Below are 24,700 nucleotides of genomic sequence, written 5' to 3'. Positions count from 1 at the left end.
AGTAGAGACAGGGTTTCACCATGTTGGCCAGGCTGGTCTTGAACTCTTGACCTCAGGTGATCCACCCGCCTCAGCTTCCCAAAGTGCTGGGATTACAGGCGTGAGCCACCATGCCTGGCCTGAAACTGAGGTCTTAAGAAGAGTTTTATTTAAGGCCACAAGTTCTTACACCACAGGACCCTATTCCAGTAGCATCCATTACGTCTTAAGCAGCTAGTACTGGTCCTGGGAGATTGACTCTCTGGGATAAATCCCGAAAAGCTGCCTTAAATGTTCTAAAGGAAGCACATTTTATTCCACATTTGTATCCATCCTTTTCATTCTAGCATGGTGCCCAATAAGCATGATAGTGACCAAAGCTTTCATCTTATTAAATTCTGTATTATTTTAGACTACATTTCTTAACTATCAAATTGACAAAAATGAATGAAGTGTAATAGGAAAGAAAGAAACTCTTATCCATTCTGACCGCTTTTGAGGACTGATGGAGGAAGAGATAGGAGACTGAAGGTGCGCATGTTCTCACCTCAAAGTTGAGTCTGAAAAGGTTCACTGAATTTTTCTGCGTGTCCCCTTTGTGCAGAAAGAGAGGAAGCATGTCTTTCTCACCCTAGAAAACATGCTTTGACCGTTTTTGCCCTTGCCTTATTGGAAAACAGCTGAAATTGTGAGTATGACATGTTTGGAATGATAGACTTTCTCACTAAGGGAGGAAAGCAGAGTCAAGCTTATTTTAAAAAATCAGTGAGGTGTTTCTAAAAACACAGCATTAAAAAATGATGTGCCTGAGCATGTTCTGTAGAAGATGATTTTATCCTATCTTAGAGGGTATTTCAATTATGACTACTCTTTTGAGGAGCAATGCCCCTGGAATACAGGAGTGAGTAACAGAGCACAGCATGTGGCTTGGGAGGCTTCCCACTAAATGCAACTCAGCAAATTAAAAGCATATGTAATTTTAATGACAGCCTAAGAGAAATGAACCTTCAAAGGTTAGGAAATTGTAGTTTTCATTTGAGGGAATTGCATGGAGCTAGACTTTCTACTCTTTTTATCTTAAAAAGGCACATCCAAAAATATTACAGTATATGAACATGGACTAAAATTCACTGAATCTGCCATTTGAAAGCAAGATACAGCTTTTGAATTAGCCTAACACTGGCTTGCTATTGATTTTGTTAACATAACTACATTGGGCCCAAAAAGCCACCTAACCATTTCTAGACACATCCAGAGGGCATAAGTATTCCCTGGCAAATAGTAGCTTGCCCATGGGCTGGGGAGACCCGTACACCAGGGTAGTCAGTTCAGTTGCATTTTATATAGGCAATGAGCTCATGACTCCTCAGTGACTGGATGTGTTTCCCAACTCTCTTTGATTTGCGTTGACCAGTGCTCCTCACAGTAGGGGTGCTACCTAATGACCAACATAATCTCTCAACATAATTTAGGGCCTTGTGGAGATGCACTATTTCATTAGGCCACTTGGATCTCATGGAGCAGCAGACTATTCATTTTCTCAATTGCTCCCGAAGGGATATGCAGAGCTGATGAACCTCTTTACTTATACTTTGGGAGTAACTCATGGACCGGACAAGCTCTGGCTTGTTTCCAGGGGACTCACTTGGGAGTAATGGTTTTCAAGTGCATTTGAAAGCCAGTACAATAGATTTGACCATCATAGACTTGAATATATAATATTTCAGTATACATCGCCAGCTATTTTCACATTGTGGTGTTACAGTGAGTCTAAGACATACTCTCTATAAAAGTCATCAGCTGCTTGACCCATTCATTGTTTATTTTTTCAACAAGTATTATATGAGTGCTGACCATTCTGGGCTGGGCCACACTAAACACTGAGCTGGAAGACCATAAAGCATGCTTAATAAAGGTTTGGAGGGTGGCATGTTGCCCCATTAAGAAATATTTATGTGATCATTTTAATCTCAGCTTAGAGAAATTTTCAATCTGATGCCTTGATGTGTATTTACCTGTGTCTTGATGTGCATTCCATCATATCTAATGCCTTGATGTGTATTTACCAATGCTTTGGTGTGCACTCCATCAGAAAACTCAGATTTGAGAGGCAGGAGACTTAACGGGGGAGTGACCCTAGGGAACTAAGAGGAGGTGGCAGCACTTGCACTTTCATGTGGAGCTTGACCCCACTTCTATGTGGATGAAAGAGTCAGTGCAGTGCTGGTGGTGCGGCCAGCCCCTGGACATCAGGAAGTAAGCCTGGCAGGAATCCATACCCCAATCTGTAGCTGCCTAGACCAAGCTTACCCCATTAGAGGCAGTACTAGAGAGTATGGGGCTTTGGTTCTAGCAGAGTCTGCTACTTGCTAGCCAGGTGCCCCGAGTAAAACTCTTAACCTCTCTCAACTGCCCTTTCTTAGTAATCTCCACTATTAGGGCAGATGCAGCATGTAGCTCAGTGGCTGGCCAGATAAAACTTCCATAGGTGATGGTTGCCCATGACTAGTGAGGTCATGCTGCTACCAGTCCCTCCTGTCTTTCTGGTCCCTTGTTGTGGGTGCACGTGCTGTGCAGCTCTTTGTGTGTCATATGCCACACTTTAGTACATTCTCACCTTTCAGAAAAGCTCCCTTTCACATTTAATCTAGTGGAAGAAGACCCCTAGTTCCTCAGCAGGACTGTCTGATTCCCTGAGGCCTCTCCCACAGCCCTGGTGGGTGGGATGACTGACTGCACTTTAGACCATAGGTAATAGTTACAGTCTGGCCTGGGAATGGGGCTGAGAGTTTACTCGGCCTGCTCCTTCAAGATGAGCATTGTTAACCAGGCAGTGGGAACCAAACAGAGCCTGAAATAGGGGTTGGTGTTATCTCTCTGTTGCAGGGTGTCGCTGCCCCTGATGCATTTCTTGTCAGTGCTTCTTGGATAGAAGGAAAAAAAACGATGGTGTAATATACTGTTCTTATCAGAGACTTCACTTTTCAAATACAGAATGCCATTTGTGTGTCACTGAGGCTGTTGTAATTGCCTTCTGCACCTGATTTACAGTTGGTTCTTCTTGACTGGTTACACTAAATGATTTGCTTAAAGTCTTATTGATTGGATGGGGAAGGGTAAGCATTGCCGTCAAGGCCCTGTTGAGTCGGTGGGAAAGGAGGCAGAAGGAGATTTAGAATGTTTTAAAATAATCCTATTCTTGGATAGAAGTACAGGTGGCAGGAGACAGCCAGCTTTCTGTTTTCTCATGAAGAGGGAAGATGCACTTACGAATCCGGGCGTTAATCCTGAAGCCTCACTTGAATCAAAGGAGTTTATCTTCTTGGTTAACAAGTGGCAAATAAATAAATAAATAAAACTTTTGAATCTTCTTTTTCTCTCATTTGCCTTTTAGGATTTTCAGAGATTTACTATCACCCAAAGACAATGCTAAAGCACAAAGCGATAAATTTTGGATTTCTGAACAATCAGAGATTGACTGGCATGAGTTATTAAGATTAAATCCAAGGCTGGCTTCCCAGAACTGTTGTGAGATCAATCACCTATTTACTGATATTTGAACTCCCAAATCTCTTCCCCTTGAGCCCATTACTGTAGTTAAAATGACAGTCCTTGGAATTAACCAATTTATTTAAATATGTAAATAGCCCTTGGGCCCCTGTCACTCATTCATACTCTGGTATGAACTAGTTCCTTCAAGTTTGATCTCTAGAGTGATGCTAAATGTATAGGGAAGGCTATGTGTTTTACCAAAAACAAAATAGTCTGGGACTGTCTCACAAAAGTAAGGCTGAGTATGGAACCACTGTGTGGTCCCCAGTTCTGGGCTGCCTTGTGTACTGTAAGCTTTCAATTCTGCTACTCTGACTCTTCACAAGGGAAAATTATAGCTTACTTCTTGGTGTTAGTGTGAGAATCAGCCTAGGTAAACTCTAGAACTGTACTAGCACTAATTTAAACAAGGATTTCTATATGTGGTTTTGCTGTTGAGCAGCAGATTGTAAATTATATTCCATGGAATAAGTGTTCAAGGTATTGTTAACAGGCATAACACGTAAAAGTGTTCTGTCGCCCAACAAGTTCGAGAAGCATTAGGTTAAAGAAACAATCTTGATTTCGCTAGTTGTTTCTAAATCTCCAGTACTATATATCTTTTGCATTCTTCCTTGTTCATTAAACTCATTTGCTAAGGAGTGTCTCTTGAGGCAGGGATAGCATAGTGATTAAGGAATCTGGAGCCAGATAATCTAGGTTCTTGGTGTGGCCCCAGGCAAGTTGCCTCGGTTTTCTTGTCTGTAAAATGGGAATAATAGTTATCTACTCCTAGGGTTGTTGAGACAATTCAATGAATGAAACCATATAAAGCATTTTAAAATGTTCCTAATGCATGGCAATTTCTCTAGAAGTGTTAGTCTTGTTATATTTTTTGAAACTAAAAGGCTGGGTATCTTTTTAAATGGTGCTAATCACCAAGAGACAATTCCCATAGGAACTAATCTTATCAGGCTAATTATTGTTTGCTTTAAAAATAAGTTACGGGGATTTTAATTTTTCTCTAACACATATGGAATTAGGAAAAAAATTAATGCAAAAAGCAGAACACATACTAAATTATGGGATTCTGTTGCATTAGGAATATAGAAAAATATAAATCATGAGTATCAATATAGGAATTGAAAGAGGCCTCTGAGCTTCAGCAATGAGTTACTAAATGGAAACATCAGAGTATCAGATCTTATGTTATTTGCATCTCCGTATATTAAGAGCACACGTGAATGAATTGTCCCTTAGGGTTAGTGTAAGACACTAAGTAGCTGGATTTTCTTTCTATCCTCTTCCTCCTCACACTAAGGGGAAAAGGAGGGGAGGGGAAACTTCAGTCATATGGGTTTAAGTACAATTCTGAGTGGATCCCAAAGCTGGAAAAGGTAAAACCTGAGACTCCAACCTCAGTTGGGGGGGTCACTTCTCCCATGGGACTCTAGGGGGGTCGCACAAAGAACTAATTTGCCCTAACGCTGCAATACTGAAGAACAAAGAAAAAAATGCCCACCTAGGTTTAAAAATTCAAAGCCAAATTCTTCAGAGGGATGGGAGTTGAGTGAGGCCTGGGTCCTACCCTTGTCACTAACTATATGTGTGATCTTGAGTGAGTCACTCCAGGCCCAAGCCTGGTTCTTCACCTGCAAAACAAAGGGACTATCTGCGATTGTCCTGAGACTTATGAAGCAGAGTAGAGATGAGGATGGACTCTCAGTCTGGAATTTGGGGTTCTTCCCTTCCTCCACCTCTTTGCCTTGGGCAGCTGGGATCTTCCTTATGTAACACGTTCAGGAAAAGGAGGGCAGGAAGGTAAAAATATTACCCTGCAGTTGTAGCCAAGCTGGGTTCTGGGGATGGAAGAATGAAGATGAAGGGGACTTGGAGGGAAATGGGAAGGAACAGAGCCCATGTAAAATCGAGATTGATTCTTCTGGACCTGGGCAGTCATCTGTAGTCAGTCCTGGGTGTCGCTGCTGGGTCTGCACTGAAAAAGAGGCCAAGGGGGTGGTGCTGGGGGATAGAAACATCCATCACCATTGCTCAGAGTGTTTAAACTTCCAGAGATTGTCATTAAACAAATTTCTGCTGCAGCCTGGCAGCCCTCACAGACATTTGTTGGAAGAAAATTACGAGTAGGTGATTTGTCAGAGGTAATAGCCAGGCTGAGCTCTGGATCCTTAATGGCATTTGGACCTTTTGCCTTTTTAAAAATTGCTTGTTAAAAAATTCATTTTCCAGCCTGTCTTTGTAATTAGAATTGGAGGGGTCGGGGCAAAGTGAAAAGAAAAGGACCAAACAGTTGCTGGGCTTTCAGGCCCTGCACTGGGGCCCCAGGAAAATTGAAACGGGTTGGGGGCAATATAGGGACCCAAGGAGTAATGGGACAGAAGAGACTCTGCTCATAAGGAAGAGAGGCCTTCCTGGAAGTACCTGGTCATTACCTGCCAGGAATAGCATCCTTTCATAAATTAAGGTCTTATCTTCTGTGCAGCAGCCAGCCCAGAGAGGCCAAGGCCAGACACGGCACAGGGAGGATCTGAGGGGCTGGGAGCTATGTATAGATTGCAGGGCTGCTCTTCCCAGACTCTGGAAGCGTTCAAGCACTCAGAGAGTCACGAAAAAATGATCGCTTTGTTTGTTCCTTGAAGTATAAAAATGGTTTTATTTTTAGACATTATAGTGTTTTTAAAAATCTACTGGCAGTTGTCTTCAGATGCAGCCTTGGGAAGTGGAATGGTGCATGCAAGGGTGGATGCAGGCAGAAACTTTACAAGGAGTCAAAGGTTTCTCAGCCACAGCACTGTGGGCATTCTGGGCTGGATAATTCCTGGTTGGCGGTCTGTCCTGTGCATTGTACAACGTGTAGCAGCATCCCTGGCCTCTGCGCACTAGATGCCAGTAGCACTCCCACCACCACTGGAGATGATCAGACTTTGCCCTGTGTTCCCACAGTGGGTAAAACTGTTCTGAATTGAAATCACTTCTGTATCCTCAAAGTCATCAGCTTTTTTTCCTCCACAGAATGCAAAGTGAGGGCAGAAAACACAACCTTTCCCAAAGCTGTTGCATAGTTTTTCTTCAGTTTTCAATTATTCCCCCAGACCACCAAGCTCTCTTGTGCCCACCTGCCTTCCAGTTGGCCAGTGCCACCCCCCACCATGGGGGTGCTGTTCCCCTCCGTTCTCTGATGGCCTCCATCAGATGAAATGATTCTACACTCTTCCTCCCCCCTATAACGTAATAAGTTTAGTGCACACTGTACTTGTCATGAAATATTTGCATTATATTTACCAAATATATTTCCTTTAAGTAAAAGTTTGCCAAATGTGCTGCTTCAGCAGGAGAAAACACATTTTTACTCAGTGTTTCCACTTAGCTTTGTTTATGTGTGTTTTTTAAAGGCAGTGCTAAGAGGACGTACTCCTCCTGAGGTCTCTGGGATTCTATTTTTTTGTACAGCATTGGTTTTCTTTTACACTGTTTCAGTATTTGGGGTTCCAGAATGAGAGCAAGGTGATATGCTCTGCCAGCAGGAGGGCCCTCGCTGGGAAGCACCTACATATCATGTAGGCTGGTGGTGATGCATACTGAGTGGACACAGCCTCCCACCCATGGACTTGCAAACCTCTCGCACCCAGTTTCAGTGCACCCCCAAAGAGGAACAAGAGGCATTTCTCCTAGGAAAGATGAGCTAAACCATAAAGTCAAGGCCAAAGCAGTTGGGCAACAGTCTAAAATCTAAATGTTTTATAAGTTCTAAATTTAGACTTTGGAAGTGGAGTGTGGTTGAAACAAGTGGTATTTAGAAGAGCAGTTGTTCTAATACACAGTTCTCATGACCTCAGCACTCCTTGTTCACAACCCTTTAGTGGCTCCTGCAGAATGAGTTCAGCCTCCTTGGCCTGGAGTGCAAGGCTCCTGTAATTGCCCATAATTGCCTCATCACGTCTTTTCCTCCAGCCAAGCTTCCTCACTGTTTGTGTTCCACACGTATAGAACCACTTTCAGTTTTCTAGATGTGCCAGGCTATTCCACAGCTTTGCCTGGAATGTCCCTCTCTTCTTCCCTTCTGCCTGGAAAATTCCTACTTATCATTCGTGACCTATCTCAAACATCTCTTTGGTGCTACTTTTCTGCCCAATACCTGTAGTATATTATAGTTCTCATAATTTATTGGAATTATTTATGTTCCTTTCTGAATTTCCAATACATGGTACAAAGTAGAAGTTCCCTGAATGAAATTGAATGGATTAAGGCATGATCCTTATCCCAAAGAGGTAATTCAGGATGTGCCATTCTTGAGAAGATTTTTTAAAATCAGTTACTAAGTTCTAAATTCCAGAAAGTGCCTAGAAAATTCTATAGTCTTCACCCAGCCTCTTCCTCTGGGGAAGGCCTAGATAATCTTAAGCCCACATACTAAGCCCTCTGATCCTGTGGATCCAACCAATACAAGGGTTTTTATCATTATTTTCTTCCTTGTAGGCTTTCAATGGTCATAGCTTCCTTGGAACTGTTTTCTTAAACTGAAATTGAATTTCCTCTTGACCTTTACTCTCCTACCTGAGATATAACATTGACACACACTGTTTGGCTTCAAGATGTGAGTCCAATTTCAGGATAAATTTCACTCATTGTTATGCTAACAAACCCATTAGTTCTATAAGGTTGTGTTCTGTCCTGTGAATTTGGTCTTTTTCCTCCTTTCCTTTAATTAATTAATTGGCATCTGAGGGATGCTAGAAAAGAAAAAATACCGAGGACCTCACAGTCCAGTGAGATAGCTAACCCATCTAATAGTTCCACTGCCCACAGAAGGAGCTTCCATGGAGACAGGTACTGGAACTTGAGAGAGCCTACTGGAGGGAGTGACAGCTTGTGGGAAAGTCTAGACACAGCCTTCCAGACGAGGGACTGGGCTGTGACAGTGAGATCCCTAGAGACCAGTGGTGTGCCCATCCTCCATGACCACTTTGCTGGTGGTCATTTCTACTCATCGTCACCTTTAAGAAAGACAGGAGGTGCATTGGGAGACTCTGAACACTTTCCATAGGAAGCATGCCATTAGAATGAAGTTTTAGGCTAACACTCAGCCATTATTTAAAAAGCTGTCATGAAAGACGAATATGAAAGGGGGGTTCTTAGGCCTTGATCGATGCTGGCAGCTGAGTGTAGCATCCACATGGGAACACTTACTATTGCCTGGAACTCAGCCACCATGCCCCTTTGATGCCCTCCCGGCAGCAGCAAGTTAATTGTTAAGTCATATTCATTTATAAGATGGAGCTTCTCATTTTTTTTCTTTGTCTTACTTGTTTTCCTTCCTTTCCCTTCTCTGTCAAGTCATCTTTGGGAAGGTTTCTTAATTTTCAGAAAGAAAAGATCCCGCAATCCAAGAATAAAACTAATTATAATGACAAACTGGCCAAAATAAAAAAATGACAAATAATCTGTGGGCTGAAATTTTCCCAAAAGCCAAGAATAAATAAAATGTCTTTTAAAGTGTCTGGTGGAGGAGGCTGATAAAAGAACTCAATTATCTGTTGGTTTTTTTTTTTTTTTTTTTTTGCAAGTCTGTGATATCTGCCTTTAAAAGGGAAAAAAGTGATAAAGTGTTTAAGAGTATAAAATAAAATAGAAGTTCATGAGCTTTTGTGAATTTTGAGGTTGAGAGAAAATATAGTCTTAGTAAAAGAGCTAATGAATCTGTGGGTTTGCTTTCAAAAATAGCGTCATTCAATCCGCTTCCTCTCCTTTATGTTAAATTACTTCAGTTGCACAACTAGACACCTGACCACCTATTGATTTTATTAGAACTTTAAACTGGTTTACTGCAAACAGATACCATACTTTGTTTCCCCCAAATTTGCCTCATTTCCATAAGGGACTAGAAAAAAACAAAATTAGCAAGGAGCAAATATTTAGAATTTCAAGAGTTTGATGGGGAATAGGGAAAACTCCACAAGAAAATAAAAGAGATCTGACAATGCCACACAGGCATACGCAGCGGGGTCTTACCACTCTTAGGTATTATTTGACTTTACCTGGGCCCTGTCCAATCTCTAAAGCCCAGCAAATGCCCCAGGTGAGATCCTTCCTCAGAGAACTTTCACAGGAGATATACAGCCTTGAAAAATAAAAGACTGCCATAATTGAGAGGTTTGTGCAAGGAATCCTATCCTAGCACTTTCTTCACTGAAGAGCATTTTGGGAGCTTTTCTGTGCGGAAAACGAGGAGTTCTAGAGAATGCATTATAGTTATTGAATGCCTACAAGTATAACCACAATTTTACTTGACTCTTGAGCCAGGTGCAAGAAAGAGAACCTCTTCCACCTGTCAAGGAAATCACAAACTAGGTGAGAAAGGAGTAGTAGTCATAATAATAGCAATAATAATAACATCAACATAATAAGAGTTGTCATTGTGTTTGCTGCTGTGTTTCTGGTGCCAGGACATAAATGTCTGCTCATGGGTGTCATAATTTTCACAAGACTTTAGATACTGTTTTTGTCCTCATCTTACAGTTGAAGCAACTAAGGCCAAGAGAGGTTTAATAACTTGCCTGTATCAGCTAGCTAGTAAGTGGCAGAGCCAGGTTCCAAAGGCAGAAGATTTGGTCCAGTGGGCCTGCCCGCTCTTGATCACAGGGCCACACTGCTTCTCAAAGACATTGTGTTGGTCCATTCAGGCTACTGTCACAGCGTACCTTAGACGGGGTAATTTGTAAATAACAAAAATTTGTTGCTCACAGTTCTGGAGGCTGGGAAGTCCAAAATCAAGGCACCAGCAAATGTGGTGCCTGGCAAAGGCTCACTTCCTGCTCCATAGATGATGCCTTCTTGCGTCCTCACATGGTGGAAGGGACTAATAAGCTCCCTTGGACCTCTTTTATAACTTCAGTAACCCTATTCATTACAGCAGAATCTTCATGACCTAATCCTCTCCCTTCAAAGGCTCCACCTCTTAATATTTTATTGCACTGGGGACTATATTTCAGCATATGAATTTGGTGGGGAGACACAAACATTCAGACCATAGATGAAGACCTTGACACTGCTCATGGAGACCTATAAAAAGGATTTGGGGTTCATAGAGAAGAGAGTGACTTGTGGGAGAGTTAAGAAGGACTTTTCAAGCAAGACGGCATTTCAGGAGACACAAGGTGGTCAGTCTAACAGTAGAAAATGAAATCAGCAGTAGAAAACAACATGGAAAATTCTGTTCTTAAATTACCATGTTGGAGAGGGATTTAATATGGCTATGTTTTATGCCAGATTTTTTTAAAAGCCTTTCATGCATAAAACTATAGTGATCTATTTAGATTCATTAAAATATGTGCACATATATATGCATGAATTTCATTATGTGGATATGTAAATTAATGTATTGGGTGAGAGATTATGTTTTAGAATATAAACCAAAAACCATGTTGTGATTAACTTTAAAGAACCATCTAGTTTTGGACATTGTGGCAGTTGTTTTTAATATCCACAAATCAGCTGAATTAGGAAACATAAACTATATGTTTGGACTTCATATTTAGAGCTATATGAGGTCAGCCTCTTCCTCCAGAGGCACTGCCAGATGATAGTTGCTTGCATGGGGCAACAGTCCAATGAAACAATTAATCCAAATCTCATTCAGAGATGAGAAGCAACTTATTTCATTCACTCATTCATTCATTTTCACATACTCATTGACTTCTATTCAGCAAATATTTTTCAGGTAGTTCATAAGCCCTGTAGTTGACTGTGTGGTGGCCTGGCCAAGGGGCATATTAGCCAGAGTAGAAGAGGCAAGAGCTGGGTCTTAGTGGCCAGGCTGAAGGGATAAAGTGTGAGGTTGGCCCTTGCAGAAGAAAGTGATTGGACATCATTCCAGAGTAGAGTGCCCAAAGGAAAGAACCAAAGCATCCCTGATCCAGGCCACTGTTGATGTCAAAAGGGGTGGGGCTTTTGGCATCTCATAGGGCGTTCCCAGTCGTGACACATTATAGTTCTGAATGGTTCACATAATTAAGGCATTGATTCGTTCCTTAAATGAATCAGAGGAAGGGAGATGGAAATGATTAGACAGGTTGTTTTATTTGCAGTCACATTAGCAATAGGGTTCAGGAAGGGCTCCCATTCTGATGGGAGCTTTGGATTGCAGAAACTCTTCCCCGTGAGCCCAGCATCGATCACAGAGCTTGGAAATACAAACTAGAGTTTCATGAGCAATGGGGAATCAGAGCTTCTTTTAGGATACTTGATACTGAGTGTGCAGCAACACACTTTGATTGGCAGCAGCCTCCCTTCCACAGTTGCCAGGCCTACTCTGTTCTAGGCACTGAGTGTACATTATCTAATTATCATAGCAACCCAGCAAGGTTGATGCCATTATCCCATTTTACAGATGAAGAGACTTAGCCCATAAGTGAGAGAACCAGGTTTCAAATCCAGAGTTCTGTGACCCCAAAGCCCACATTCTTCCTAGTTTACTATGCTACTTCTCCTGAGCCATTCTGAGCCTCAATCACTTGCCAGAGAGATTGGTTCAGGAATTTGTCAGGGATAGCCTGAAGTCCCAAAGTCTTCAGCCAGCATCTGAGCAGTGTTAGAAAAGGCTGAGACTCACACGATGCTATATGCTGTGGGAAATGTAATAGACATGAACGATTATCCTAGTCACTATTAACCAAATGCTGGATAACATGGAGCACATAGTGACATTCAACAGAGTTACATTCTCTGCCTTCTAGGATCTTGCAACCCAAGGTGCATATTTACTTGCTTGAATATTGAGCTGTGAGAAGAAAAGTTGCTACGTTTGTGCAAGTTCTATTTATTATGGATGCTAAATTCCTATAAGTTAGCTGAACCATCCCTAGAATAAAGTACTTTATTTTAGCCCAAGTGCCAACTGACTGACTGACTGACTGAATGAATGAATGAATGAATGAAGGCATGCTTGCTTGCTCTTATAGATTAACTCTCTTGCTATGGGTAAACCAAAAGAAAAAAAATATTTTTCCTTACCCCTTAAAGTGAGTCTACTTTGTTTTGTGGGAGGTAGCAATTTATAGACCTGTCTACACATTATTTTCTAAAACTCAAGTATTTTGGAAGAGCAGATGGGGTACCATACTGTATACACTAATCATATATTTTGAAATGTATTTCTTTTTGAGCAGTTTGGTGACGCTTTATTTAGCAAAAGCCCTTGAAAGTTTCAAAAGCAACAATCCAAAGAACATGAGTGGCTGAGAGCACAGCGGACAGACAGACCCTCCAGCACAAGGCTAATGCTTTTCAAAATGTACTGTGGACCCTGGCCCTGGCCCCTATTCCTCCTGCCCTTAGAGATGATGATACACATTGTCACTGGGGGAGGGAACGAGTGGATTGGGCCTGATTATCTGAATTTTCTGTGAATCCCCTGGGTGACTGTGATATGCACCCAGGGTGGAGAACTAGCCTTCTACACTCATATCTGAGTGCTACTCTTCTTACCTCATTCTCTTGAGACTCATATTTTCACTTATAAAATTATTAGAGAAGCAAAAGAAAACCCCATCCCTTTTACATTTTCTGAGAGCCACAGGGGGAGCAAATAGGTGTTGAGCACCTCCTACATTGCCAGAAGTTTGACTTATAGATCTGGTTTAATCTGTACAAGAACTCAACAATGTTTAAAGAATTAATTGGCCCTCAGATATGGAGTTGAGTTATGCATACTGCTCAGTTCATAGCTTATTGTCACCCTAAGGCCATGCAAGACCCTCCTCTTATTTTGTTATTGTTCCTCTTCACCCCCCATTCCCTACACCCATTTCCTTCCCTCCTCAGAGAACCACCTAATATGCTAGAACTAAAATGAATGTCTTTACAAAATTATATATTATTTTTGTGTGTGTTTGTTTTAATTTACATAAATGATAAATCTCTGTAATATAGACTATATAGAAAGTAAGAATGCTTATTTTTTCACTCAGTATTATGTTTTCAGATATATCTATGTTGTATAAACTTCCCACATTTGCATAATATTTCATTGTCTGCATTTATTCCATTTTGTTTATATCTTCCCCAGTTGATAGACACTCAGCTCCCTGCTACCACAGAGAATTCTGCAGCTAACATCCTTATTTGTGACCCTTGGGGACCTTTGTGAGAGTTATATCTGGGATACGTGTCCAGGAGTTGGATCCTGGGGTCCAGATGTGATGTATGCCTCTTTAATTTCAGATTGTTTTACTTAATAGAAACAAATCAGAGTTCCCATCTCCTTACATCCCCATTTGGTATGAACCACCTTTTGAATTTTCATCATTCTGATGTCTGAGAGTGACATTTAATTGTTTCAATTCTTATCTCCTGGATTACTAGTCAGTTTGAGCATCTTTTCACATACTTTTTACCCATTTGGATTTTTCCTTCTGCAAATTGCATTTTTATATCCTTTATCCAATTCTCTATTTTTCTAATATTCTAGGTGTTAAGCCCTTGTCAGTTTCAGAGGTTATAATAATTTACTTCGTTTATAATTTGACTATTTATCAATAATTTCTTTTTTGAATAAAAATCCTTACAATTTAATGTAGATAAATCCAGCAACTTTCATCTGTGGTTAGTGATTTAAGTATCTTTTTTATGAAATAATTTTCTACTCAAAAGGATATTATTCCTGTTTTTGTGAATAAGGTAGTTATTTCTTATTCAGTACTACTGCCCAAGGTCACACTACTACCTAGCAGCAGGATTTGAAACTATTAATAATTACCTGTTAATAAATTAAATCATGTTATTCATATTTTAAAAGCAACCAAGTATTATTTGCACTAAAACATTTTCTGAGTTTTAATCAGAGATCTCAAAAAATTGCACCCTGCAGCTTCTATCAGTCAGATTTCACTGAATTTTCCTTTCTGCCCCTAAATTCTTGCAAAGTATCTCAAATCACATTACAGCCAGGCTGGTTGAAATTACAGCTTTGGCCCTCATTAAGCTAATTACCACTTGTACCCAAATTGAGCCATTTCACTCCAATAACACTGTAAACCAGTCCTTCCTCTGTGATGTCTCTGCCTTGCCTAGGAAAATGTGAGGCTGATGTCAGAATTTTCTGTCTCCTTAGAGCAGGAGGTTTCCAGCTATTTCTCTAAGGAGCTCTGGGATGCAGCTCAAGTGTTTGATAGGCAGTGTAAGAGGAATGAGGGTGGAAACTGGGGAACCAGAGGGAAGGCTGGGCACAGGCCCCCTCCTCAATTTAGCCCACACAAGTGTTGCCTTCTTGGTTTTGTACTTTAGGCACTATGTAAGTAAAATCTATTGGAAAAGGGATTCTACTGCTAAAAGGAATGGGGGAGCTTGGAAGCACTGTCTTAAAAAACTAGACTACTTAATATAAACTGATTTATTTTCATCTCTCTGCTCATGTTACATTTGTATAGTGTTTTACATTTTGGAAAACACTGTTACATTATTTGAGTTTATAAAACCTGATAAGGTAGGCATATCTCAACCACTATGGCACAATTTTTCACAATTAAAGCTCCATATCACAGAATCTGTCCCAGCAGGTGACTGAAAGGCTGCATCTCAGGAGTGTGGCAGGGATTATCACCGGCTTGGGTAGAAGCTGGACCTAGATGATCCCTAATCTCCCTGCTCGTGCAAAGATGCTATGACTGGAAATGACGAGAGAGGAAAGTTAACACCAAAAGAATTACCTAAATTAAACCTCCTGCCTATTGGAGGTAGGGATGATGAAATTCCCATGTTTATGGAACACCTGTTCTGGTCTGGTCATCCAGGTGCCGCCTTCCACTGAATCCTTACAGCAACCCTAGGAGAGAGGTATTGCTGTATCCATTTTAAAGGTGACAAAACTGAACTTTATAAAACTAACGGGAAAAGCTTAGATTTCCTCCCTGAGCTCGCCAGCTCCCATACCACTGTCTGTTCTTTCCACTCACAAGGATGACCCCAAATAAACACCACATCAGTTAGCCGCCCAGAACCTTATCTAGGCAGTGGCTGTTTGGGGAAGGAAGTTCTTTATAAGTACTTCTGTCTCACACTGGGCATCACGTTGATGCTTACATCTTTTCCAATGCTCACCTCCTGCCTGGGGGTCAAGCCACATCATCTCTGGTTTCTGGCTGCATTCATCCTCCTTATTGATCAGGTCACTCGCTGTGACTCAGCTGTTAGCATCTCTCCTGCTTTGATATCTTGGATTGCCAACACAAACCCATGCTATTTTTACTTTGCCTCAGAAAGGAAGATTGGAAGACAGCAGTCCAGCCTTCTGGTTTACCAAGTTGTTGATTCTTCTTGGCTTTCTCCATTCATTCATGAATTCTTTCTGTACTTCAAGCCGAAAAGATGTGTGTGGCTGGAAAGCCCTTTGTGGTGGATCCATCTCTAAGGCCTGAATGGGGGCTGAATGTGATCACAGCTTTGGAGATCTTTGCTTTCTCTCTTCTGACTAGAATCCTTTACAGTATGAAATCACTCTTTCCCCCTCCTATCTTAGATAAAAGAATAAACATATTGAAAAATGTGGCTGAGAAATTTTGTTTCAAATATGCATATATTATGAGTAGTGTTCTGAGCAAGACAGAAAAATTACCAAAAATAAATGCATGTAAGCTTAGCCTTTTATTAGTAGGGCTGATTGTTTAAGAAACCACTTTGTTAGCACCAGGCACAGTGACTTGAGCCTGTAATCCCAGCTCCTCAGGGGGCTGGGCAGAAAGATTGGCTCACTTGAAGCCACGAGTTCAAGACCAGCCTGGGCAACATAACAAGACCCCCATCTCTTAAAGTATATATATTTTTTAATTAGCAGGATGTGGTGGTGCACACCTGGATTGCTTCAACCCAGGAATTCAAGGCTGCAGTCAGCTATGATCGTACCACTGCACTCCAGTCTGGGCAACAGAGCAAGACTCCATCTCTTAAACAAACAAAAAACTGCTTTGCTAAATGAAAGCTGTATGGATTTCACAATTTGAATTTCTGAATTTCTGAAATCTTGCATTTTATACCAGAAGGCAGTTTACTCATGTGTCTGATCATTCTAAACCAATGGAGAGTTAAGAATGTACATTTCATTTCGGCTGGGTGCGGTGGCTCATACCTGTAATCCCAGCACTTTGGGAGGCCGAGGCGGGCAGATCACGAGGTCAAAAGATCGAGACCATCCTGGCCAATATGGTGAAACCCCGTCTCTACTAAAAATACAAAAATTAGCTAGGCGTGGTGGCCCACACCTGTAGTCCCAGCTGCTCAGGAGGCTGAGGCAGAAGAATCACTTGAACACGGGAGGCGGAGGTTGCAGTGAGCCGAGATCAGGCCACTGCAGTCCAGCCTGGCGACAGAGTGAGACTCCGTCTCAAAAAAAAAAAAAAAAGAATGTACATTCATTTCATATAGTACCTTACGTTGTACAAAGTGCTTTCATATGCATGATCTATTTTACGTAATTACTCTATAGGGTAAATTTTATCATCTCTATTTCATATAAGCAAATTAAGATGCGAAAAGCCTTAAACTTTCTAATATAGTACTAGTTTAAAAAGCAAAGGACGTTTAGTTTGCAGTCACCTAGCCCTAACACATACAAGTAATTTATTTCTTTAGCTACAAACAATACTAAGTTGATGAAGAAATAATATTATACTTTGGGAGAGCTGATTCATAAGAATTGTCATTCAGCTGACACTCAGGTCAGTATCAAGGAGGCAGGATTCATGGAAGTAAGCAGGGTTTCATATCATCCGTGTGAAGCCAGGGCTCTTATTTGTGAACTGCTTTCCTTACCCTTTCCTTACGCTCTCCTTTCAAGATAGCTTCCTGTACCTAGCTGCCACTGGCCAGTTTCAGTCAAAGCCCCAGCAACTTTCCAAAGGTAGAAAAACGTGCATGTGCATGTTCACAAAATATGGCACAATTTCAGTTTGTTTGTAGAACTTTCAGGTAATAATCCTTGCTTTAAATGGGACATGGAGTTTTAAAACTCCAAACAAATCTCTGAACTACCAAGTCCTATATTGAGAGACTGTCAAAGATCCTACCCCACTGCTGTATGATTGGAGGATTCTAGCTAGGACCACATGCTTTGTTATCAGCACAAGTCAGTAGATCAGCAAACAACTGCAGTACCCAGAAACTATAGCATAGGGACTCATTTTAACTCTTGTATACATCACTCAAAACCTTTTCCTCATGACCTTCTGGTTTGCCTGTTTCACAAACTCCTCTCCAAACTGTCCTCCAAGGTGGGGCTAGTAGAACACATGTTCAGGCTTTGTTATTATTTGTTGACTCGTATGTGGCGTTTCTTGTCCCAATTCATTACATAAGGCAAAGATTCTACTGTAAGGACAGTAAGAATGTTGAACACACACTTGATCTTCCACTGTATCCTCGGCTTCAGTTGGTCAAACTCTGTGTGCAGAACTCAACTCACTTTTGCTATCACAGAAATATAAACATTCTGCAATTTTCACCTCCAAATTTTGCCTCTTTTTACAAGCTCTATGTAATTTCCTGTGAAACAAACTTATTAAATACATTCTATTCCCCCATCTAACCTTGTTGACATTCCTCTCCTCTAATACAATAGCCTTTCAGATCAACAGGGTCCCCAAACAGATACAGAGATGTATTAAAGTTTTCTGTTATTTAGTATTTGCTGGGTACTTGCCACATACTAGGTTTCCCTTGAGGAACCCAGTCTAATGAATGTGGCCAATGTGAATTTATAAATTACACACAGTGTAATTAACATAGCAGCAGACCCAGAATTTCATGTTGTGCATGCTCCACCGTTCCTTGTCTGATGGGGTGAGTCGTTCACTTAGAGCAGTACCCCTCCCGAGCAGTGTGCTAATAAGTGCTTTGGAGATGGATCCTCAGATAAATCTTGACTTTGAGATCCTTTCACAGCTTCACAAAGATACACAAAATAAGCTTTATAGTGGGAGGTAGAAGTGATACGTGCCATACATATACAGAAAAACAGAGGAAACTAATATTTATTGAGCATATACTGTGCACCAAAAATTCTTTTCAACACTTTCACTTATGTTATCTAATTTAATATTCGTAACTATGCTTGAGGCAGATATTATCTTCAGTTTACAGAGAAGGAAATTAAGGCTCAGAGGTGATAAATAACCTGCTGAAGAAATCTTTGTTCCAATACTCATGCTATTTCCACTCTATATCACTAAAATGCCTTACAAAAGATATCAAAATAATAAAGTGAGAAAGAATATGACCCATTTAGTTTCAGTTTTCTCTCGACTTCATTGATCTCTTTCCTCCTTTCTACTACAGGTAAGTAGATACCTGAAACATCCTAAGGGGTTGGCCCTTAGGAGCTTTAACTATTATGGATATTTTAGTAATTTCAAAAATAAATCCGTTTGGATTTGGCCCAGCAACTCCCTCCTGTCTTTCTCCTATGATTTACACAGTCTCCGTCAGTACTCATGTTGGAGATAATTAACTGTGCTGCCTTTCTAAGGTGTCTTTCCATAGGTGTGCCATCCTAAGCATGGGCATTCCTTAAGGAGAGTTGGGCGTGGCAGCACCTTTGCTTGTAATCAGGGCCTCTCATACCCTTTTTAACATAACCACTGACAAACCCTCTATAGTATCCTTTCTTGGGTGGGAATTATTACAGCTCCAGTACATCTATGCAGTATCTCAGAAGTTGCTGGATGTACTCACTAAATGACCCAGATTTCATCTTTCTCACAATTTAACACTTTAAATAAATGCCAGCAAGCTTCACCGCATTAGAAGATTACTATATGTCTGAACAACTTGGATATCAATATTTGTCATGCAGCCTTCCTCGGTGTAACATCTAAAGCAATACTCATTTAGCTGACGTACATTCTCTGCATGGTGTTTACCCAACAGTCATCACTCATGTTTGCTCATGAGGTGTTGGGGTGATGAGCCGAGCTGCTGTATTCTCAGCTGGGCCTGGAGCCTGCTTAGTTTGGCACTGATTAATGATATGTGGGGACTGATTAATGACATGTGGGGAGCAGGCTGTTTGCAGAGCCACCTTAGAAACCCAGTTAGCTAAAGACAAATAGCTGAGAGTTGGCCGATGGGAGCAAGGGAGGTGGGCTCTTGAGAAAGGAGAGTCATTTTGAGAGATATCAGCATGACTTTTGGTGATCTTAACTAGAGGAAGGGACAGATTCTGCAGTAGACAATGCTTTTGGGTCTGGCTTCTTGGTAGACACCCCAGGATCAGGTCTAAGGTATGTTACCCATGTATTCCCATAACAGCATCATTTCTCTGTGCTTTGAGTTTCACCATTTATAAACCTGCTTAAAGAGCTTATCTTCTTCCTAATCATACCTTGAGACAAAATGCACTTTATACCAGTAAAGTATCATGAGATGTTCGTTTGGAAGCCGTTATGCCAAAAGAGCAAGCATTTACAGCCTTGCTTTTTATTTACCAAGTGTATTTTACACTGGAAAAGGTTTCAATATGGCCCCATATAGTATTTATTTTGCCTTATGTCCTTCCTATGTCTCGTTTTTCTTTCTTATTTCATTCACCTACTGTGTCATGTTGGTTTGGCATCCACTTCTTTTCTAAAATTGTATCTTTTGTATTTTTTATTCTTTAGGTGGGGCAGCGAGGAAAGGACGCATTGATCTTGAAGTTGTAGAGATAATGTCTCAGCACCCTGCTTGGGGTGCCATCCTTTTAGTGGCATGGCAAAACCAAGCACAAAATATTTTTTATTGTCCTTTCCAGAATAGATCCCTTTCTCCACAGCACCATGTGGGTGGTTGTTCCTGGCAGAGAACACCTTTCTCTCTCATACTGTAAGTTCCGTTGGCAACTCCTGACCAGGGACAGTAGCAACATCGATTTCCTAAAGATAGATATCCCCTCGTTTAGAAGGCATTTTCTCACAAGCTTATTCAGAATACTCAAGTCAGAAGTTATAAGGATGTCCAAGCTCATTTTGGGGGAAAAATACAGAGAGGTGAAAGGATGTGCTGAAGGTTACACAGGAGCAGTAGGAAAAGACAGACACAAAGCCAGGGAGGCACCACGTGTCCTCCTTAACTGTTCATCTTTGACTGTATAGCTTCATTCGTCTGCTCTAAGATCTTGCATTTCCAGCCATCGTTTATATCTGGTCCTATCAAAGCTCGTTGACCAACATTCTCTCTTTTAACCCTTCCCCTACAGTGCAAGGTCTGCACTGTACACTCTCATTTATTGGGAATCTGAGACCTAGAGAGGTTTAGGAATTTGCCCAAGGACACACAGATGGCAAGTGAGCAAGCCAAGGATTTGGAATCAGTTCTGCCTGATTCCAGTGCCTGTTGTTTTCCTTCCATCTTTCACTAGAGCCAAACTGATCTTGAGCAGTTGTCTTTCCATTGACCTGCAAAGTTCTAACCACTCCCCTTACTCCACTTTTTAGATTGAGATTATACCCATCCTGCAGGACCCATCAGAGCCTGCTTTGTTCATTTAGTGTTTCCCAGCCACCTTGAAATGGAAGTGGTCTTTCCTCCTTTGAATCACATGGCACTAGAGCCTGTTCATTTGGCACCAGTGCCTGCAAAGCAGACAGCCTGGAGCAGGTAGGAATAGGGAGCTCTAGGTTCAAATCCCTGCTCTGCCACTATATGGCGTATGATTTTGAGTAAGCCACTTAATTCTATCTTGGCAGATCCATCAACCGGACCTCTAAAGTCCAGCTTAGCCAAAAATTCCAGGATTCAAAAGTTATTATTATATTATTGCTAATAATATTGTGAGTGTGAGTTGAGTTCTATACTAATCTGTGCCTCCCTCACCCCTACTTTCCTGTTATCTATGCCCACCTCACCCCTAGTTTCCTGCTGTCTATGCAATGCCTTACGCAGAAGAAGGGGCAATGGAGTATTGATAAGAGACACTTTTTGATCTTCAGTTGTAACTCACTCCCATTTATTTGTCTGTTTATTCATTTGGTCATTCATTCATTTATTTATTGCTGGCATTGAATTTTTCTATTACTTCCCAAGATTGTTTCTGAGATCTTCTGGAGGCCTCACCAGTACTTTGGGACAATATGGTCATAGGTTTGGAATTAAATCCTTGAAGAAAAAGACTTTCCATTTTTTAAATATAACCAAAGCAAATAAGGAAAAGTCACTCTTACAATGTGAGATATCAGAAAACAAAACTTAGGCAAATAAACCAAAAATACTTTGTAACATTTTCAGCATTACAGTTTTTTCAGCATTTAATCAGTCTTTGTGTACCTGTACGTACAAGCCCATAGTTACCAACCCACACACACGAAAAAAGAACCAATTAATTTAAATGATCAAGTTCATGCCATGTTCAATGGCGCATGTCCCCTTTTGCTCCTAAAATCTTTGATCGCTTTTTAGCTTCTACAGTTCCTTGGGCATTCATTGTAGGAGATGGCAGTTCTGCCTGCCCCATCAGCAGACACCATTTTGCAAAGCAGAAACCATCTTTGTCCCTTCTACCCCCAGCAAATTCCCTGGCTCCCAGTTTTCACCTGTCAGATGTCCATGCTAATTCCAAGACTCCTTTATCACAATAATAACAGAAGTAAAATTCTCTTGGTGGATGGATTTCATTTATAATAAACACCTTTCTTATTTACTTACTACTTGAGTGCTTACTTACTACTCAATAGGAGCTATGCATTACTCACTAATCTTTTTACCAACTTAGTGCAATAGCATTCATTAATCGTAGGTTAAAGTTAAAAACATCTTTCATTCAACTCTCACATTCTGAAGTCAACTTCAGCTCCATGTTTCCATTGTAATAGTTTAAAGCATATGCTTTCTAATTACAGAACTTGGATTCAAGTCTCTCTTCTGTCATTTACCAGTATAAATGCCCTGAGACTTGTTTTCTGCAACTGAAAAAAAAGGATAGTCCCTATTTGGTAGGATTCTTGTGACAATGTAATGAGTTTAAAGATTCCAAGCTTAGAGCACTGTGCCCATGCTTAGTAAACACCCAGGAAATGCTAATAGTCAGCATTCTGTTGCCTCTAGCAGATAGGAGGTGCTTTATATGCACCCAACTCACTTGATACTGTACCTAATTAGGTGGGAAAAAGGGTGGGTATTGAATTTGTTTTCAGTTTTTAAACATACGTTTTCTAATTCAAGATGAGATACATGGTAAGGTCCAACATAAGATGTACGCTCTTCTTAAATAAGAAGTTGAGAACTGCCATTACACTATGTAGTTTAAAATTTATTTATTTTTGAAGCCGGCTTTGATTGTCACTTTACAAGATGTATGCCGTTTTTTCCCTTCTTTCACACTATCTTAAAAAAAAAAATAACAAATCTTAACATGGCATTGGCTTTGCTATATAACAAAACTCTAATACAAATTATATCCTTTTGGAAATCATTTTGTTTTTAATAAACAAGTAGCAAGAACATTTTTGATTTATAAATAAACATTACTTCTAAAAAATCCTTAGTAATTTCACCCAAATTATAATTCTAAGAAAGTTCCTTAGACATTGATTATAGTCAGAGATTTTTTTTCTAGTTACAAAATCATTGAAATTTGAAAAGAAGGAAAATGGTGGTTGTGCTAAACATCAGTAGGTCTAGAATTTGTTCACTATTTCAGTTTATTCAACAAACATTCAACAAGCTCCTTCTGAGCTGAGTGCTTGGCACTGTTCTAGGACCCATAACTATGTCCTTACAACAACCAGCACATCATTGTCAGAGGTGTTAGTATTGACTTCAGCAGCCAAGATGGGAAGTGATATAGAAATTCTGTTTAGCTGTTGGGTCAAATAATTTTCACAAGGACATAAAACTGAACACAAGTTCAGGCCCGGAAAAACACTTGGATTAGTCCTCAAGGAAGTCTAGTTAGTGCTTATTGGGACTTCTAAGAAAACCTGATCCAAAGTTATTGACCCGTCCTGTGTGTTAGGTAAGATTAACTAAGTGCCCACCAACATAGGAGATGGAGGATAGTGCCATTGTGAATGCCAAATTTAGCGGATTGGTGGTGGCTACTTGCAGACAGAGTCCAGGTTCAGCAGAAAAAAGAAGTGCCGTGATAGATTAGTGATGTCTGCCATTGGCATGGGAGAGAGGAGTGGTGGGATATGTGCCACATAATTGTTGTTTATTCTGTGTCCTCCAAAGGACTCATCAGTAAGGAAAGGGACTGCATTCGGGTGAGAGAATGGGAGACCCAGCAGATTTCTGGAAACCATTGCAATAACTGGCTTCACAGCTGTGAGAGGTAGAACAGAGGAGCAGAAAGGAAGAGGGATGGAGTGGAGAAACACAAGAACCTTTTCAGATCTTGCTTGGGGTCACTGACTTCACACGACTGAGGAACTGTCCAGGTTTTGCAGAGTCAGGGCACTCTGGGCTGTTTTAATTGTCTGAGTTTTGTAGCTGTGGTGGGTGACAGGTTCCCCTTTAAACATAATAAATGGCTTGCAATTACTTTACTTTGGAAAGCACTCTTCTGCCCTGGGACACTGTAATAACCAGCCATAGAAGAGAAAAGGCCTAGGGATTTATGAGGGTGTCCCAATTTTCAACCATTTGGGAGAAATACAGCAGAACATTGGTACAGCAGTGTGTTAGTAAGAGTTAATCTATCACTGCTCCTCTCTCAACCCTCTCTTTCCCTCTGCTTAAAACTATCACAGGGATTCGTCCCTGGCCTTCATGAAGACTTGCCAGAATTTTTTTTTTTGTTTGCACATAACTCTAGAAATACAATCTAGTTGACCTTCAGTTTCTGGACCAAAGGGGACATTTTCCAGGTATGAGGGATTTTAAAATTCAGTAGTCATAAAAAGACAAATGAAGCATGGTCTCTTCCTTTAAAGGGCTCAAGGTCCTGCTGGGGAGACGAGTAGTGAATAAATAATTTCACTGCACTCTGAGATATATTGTTGTTAAAGCAATAGGGTAAGAATGGACATATATTTCTAAAAGCAAAGAAACGGTGTGCATAATAAATCACTTTGTTTTCCTGCCCCTAAATTGTATTGATAATAGCACTTACTGAGATCTACTCTTATAATTTGTTTACACAGCAACTTTCTAAGCGCCTTTTTTTTTTGGGAGGTCTTGCACTGTCACCCAGGCTGGAGTGCAGTGGTAT

The 24,700-nt window shown here is 40.7% G+C and overlaps 1 protein-coding gene and 1 non-coding gene across 16 annotated transcripts in view; both read left to right on the top strand.

Moving 5' to 3' along the window:
- ELMO1 (engulfment and cell motility 1) overlaps positions 1-24,700 on the top strand; it is a 596,421-nt gene that overhangs the window by 517,889 nt on the left and 53,832 nt on the right. The window lies entirely within an intron of this gene.
- Positions 12,006-12,081, top strand: MIR1200 (microRNA 1200). Its single transcript, NR_031604.1, has one exon. It is a non-coding gene; the product is annotated as a microRNA 1200 (primary transcript).

Source organism: Homo sapiens, chromosome 7, assembly GCF_000001405.40.
Source record: "Homo sapiens chromosome 7, GRCh38.p14 Primary Assembly".
In the NCBI taxonomy this organism is placed as follows: Eukaryota; Metazoa; Chordata; class Mammalia; order Primates; family Hominidae; genus Homo; species Homo sapiens.
This window is presented reverse-complemented; position numbering and strand designations above follow the sequence as displayed.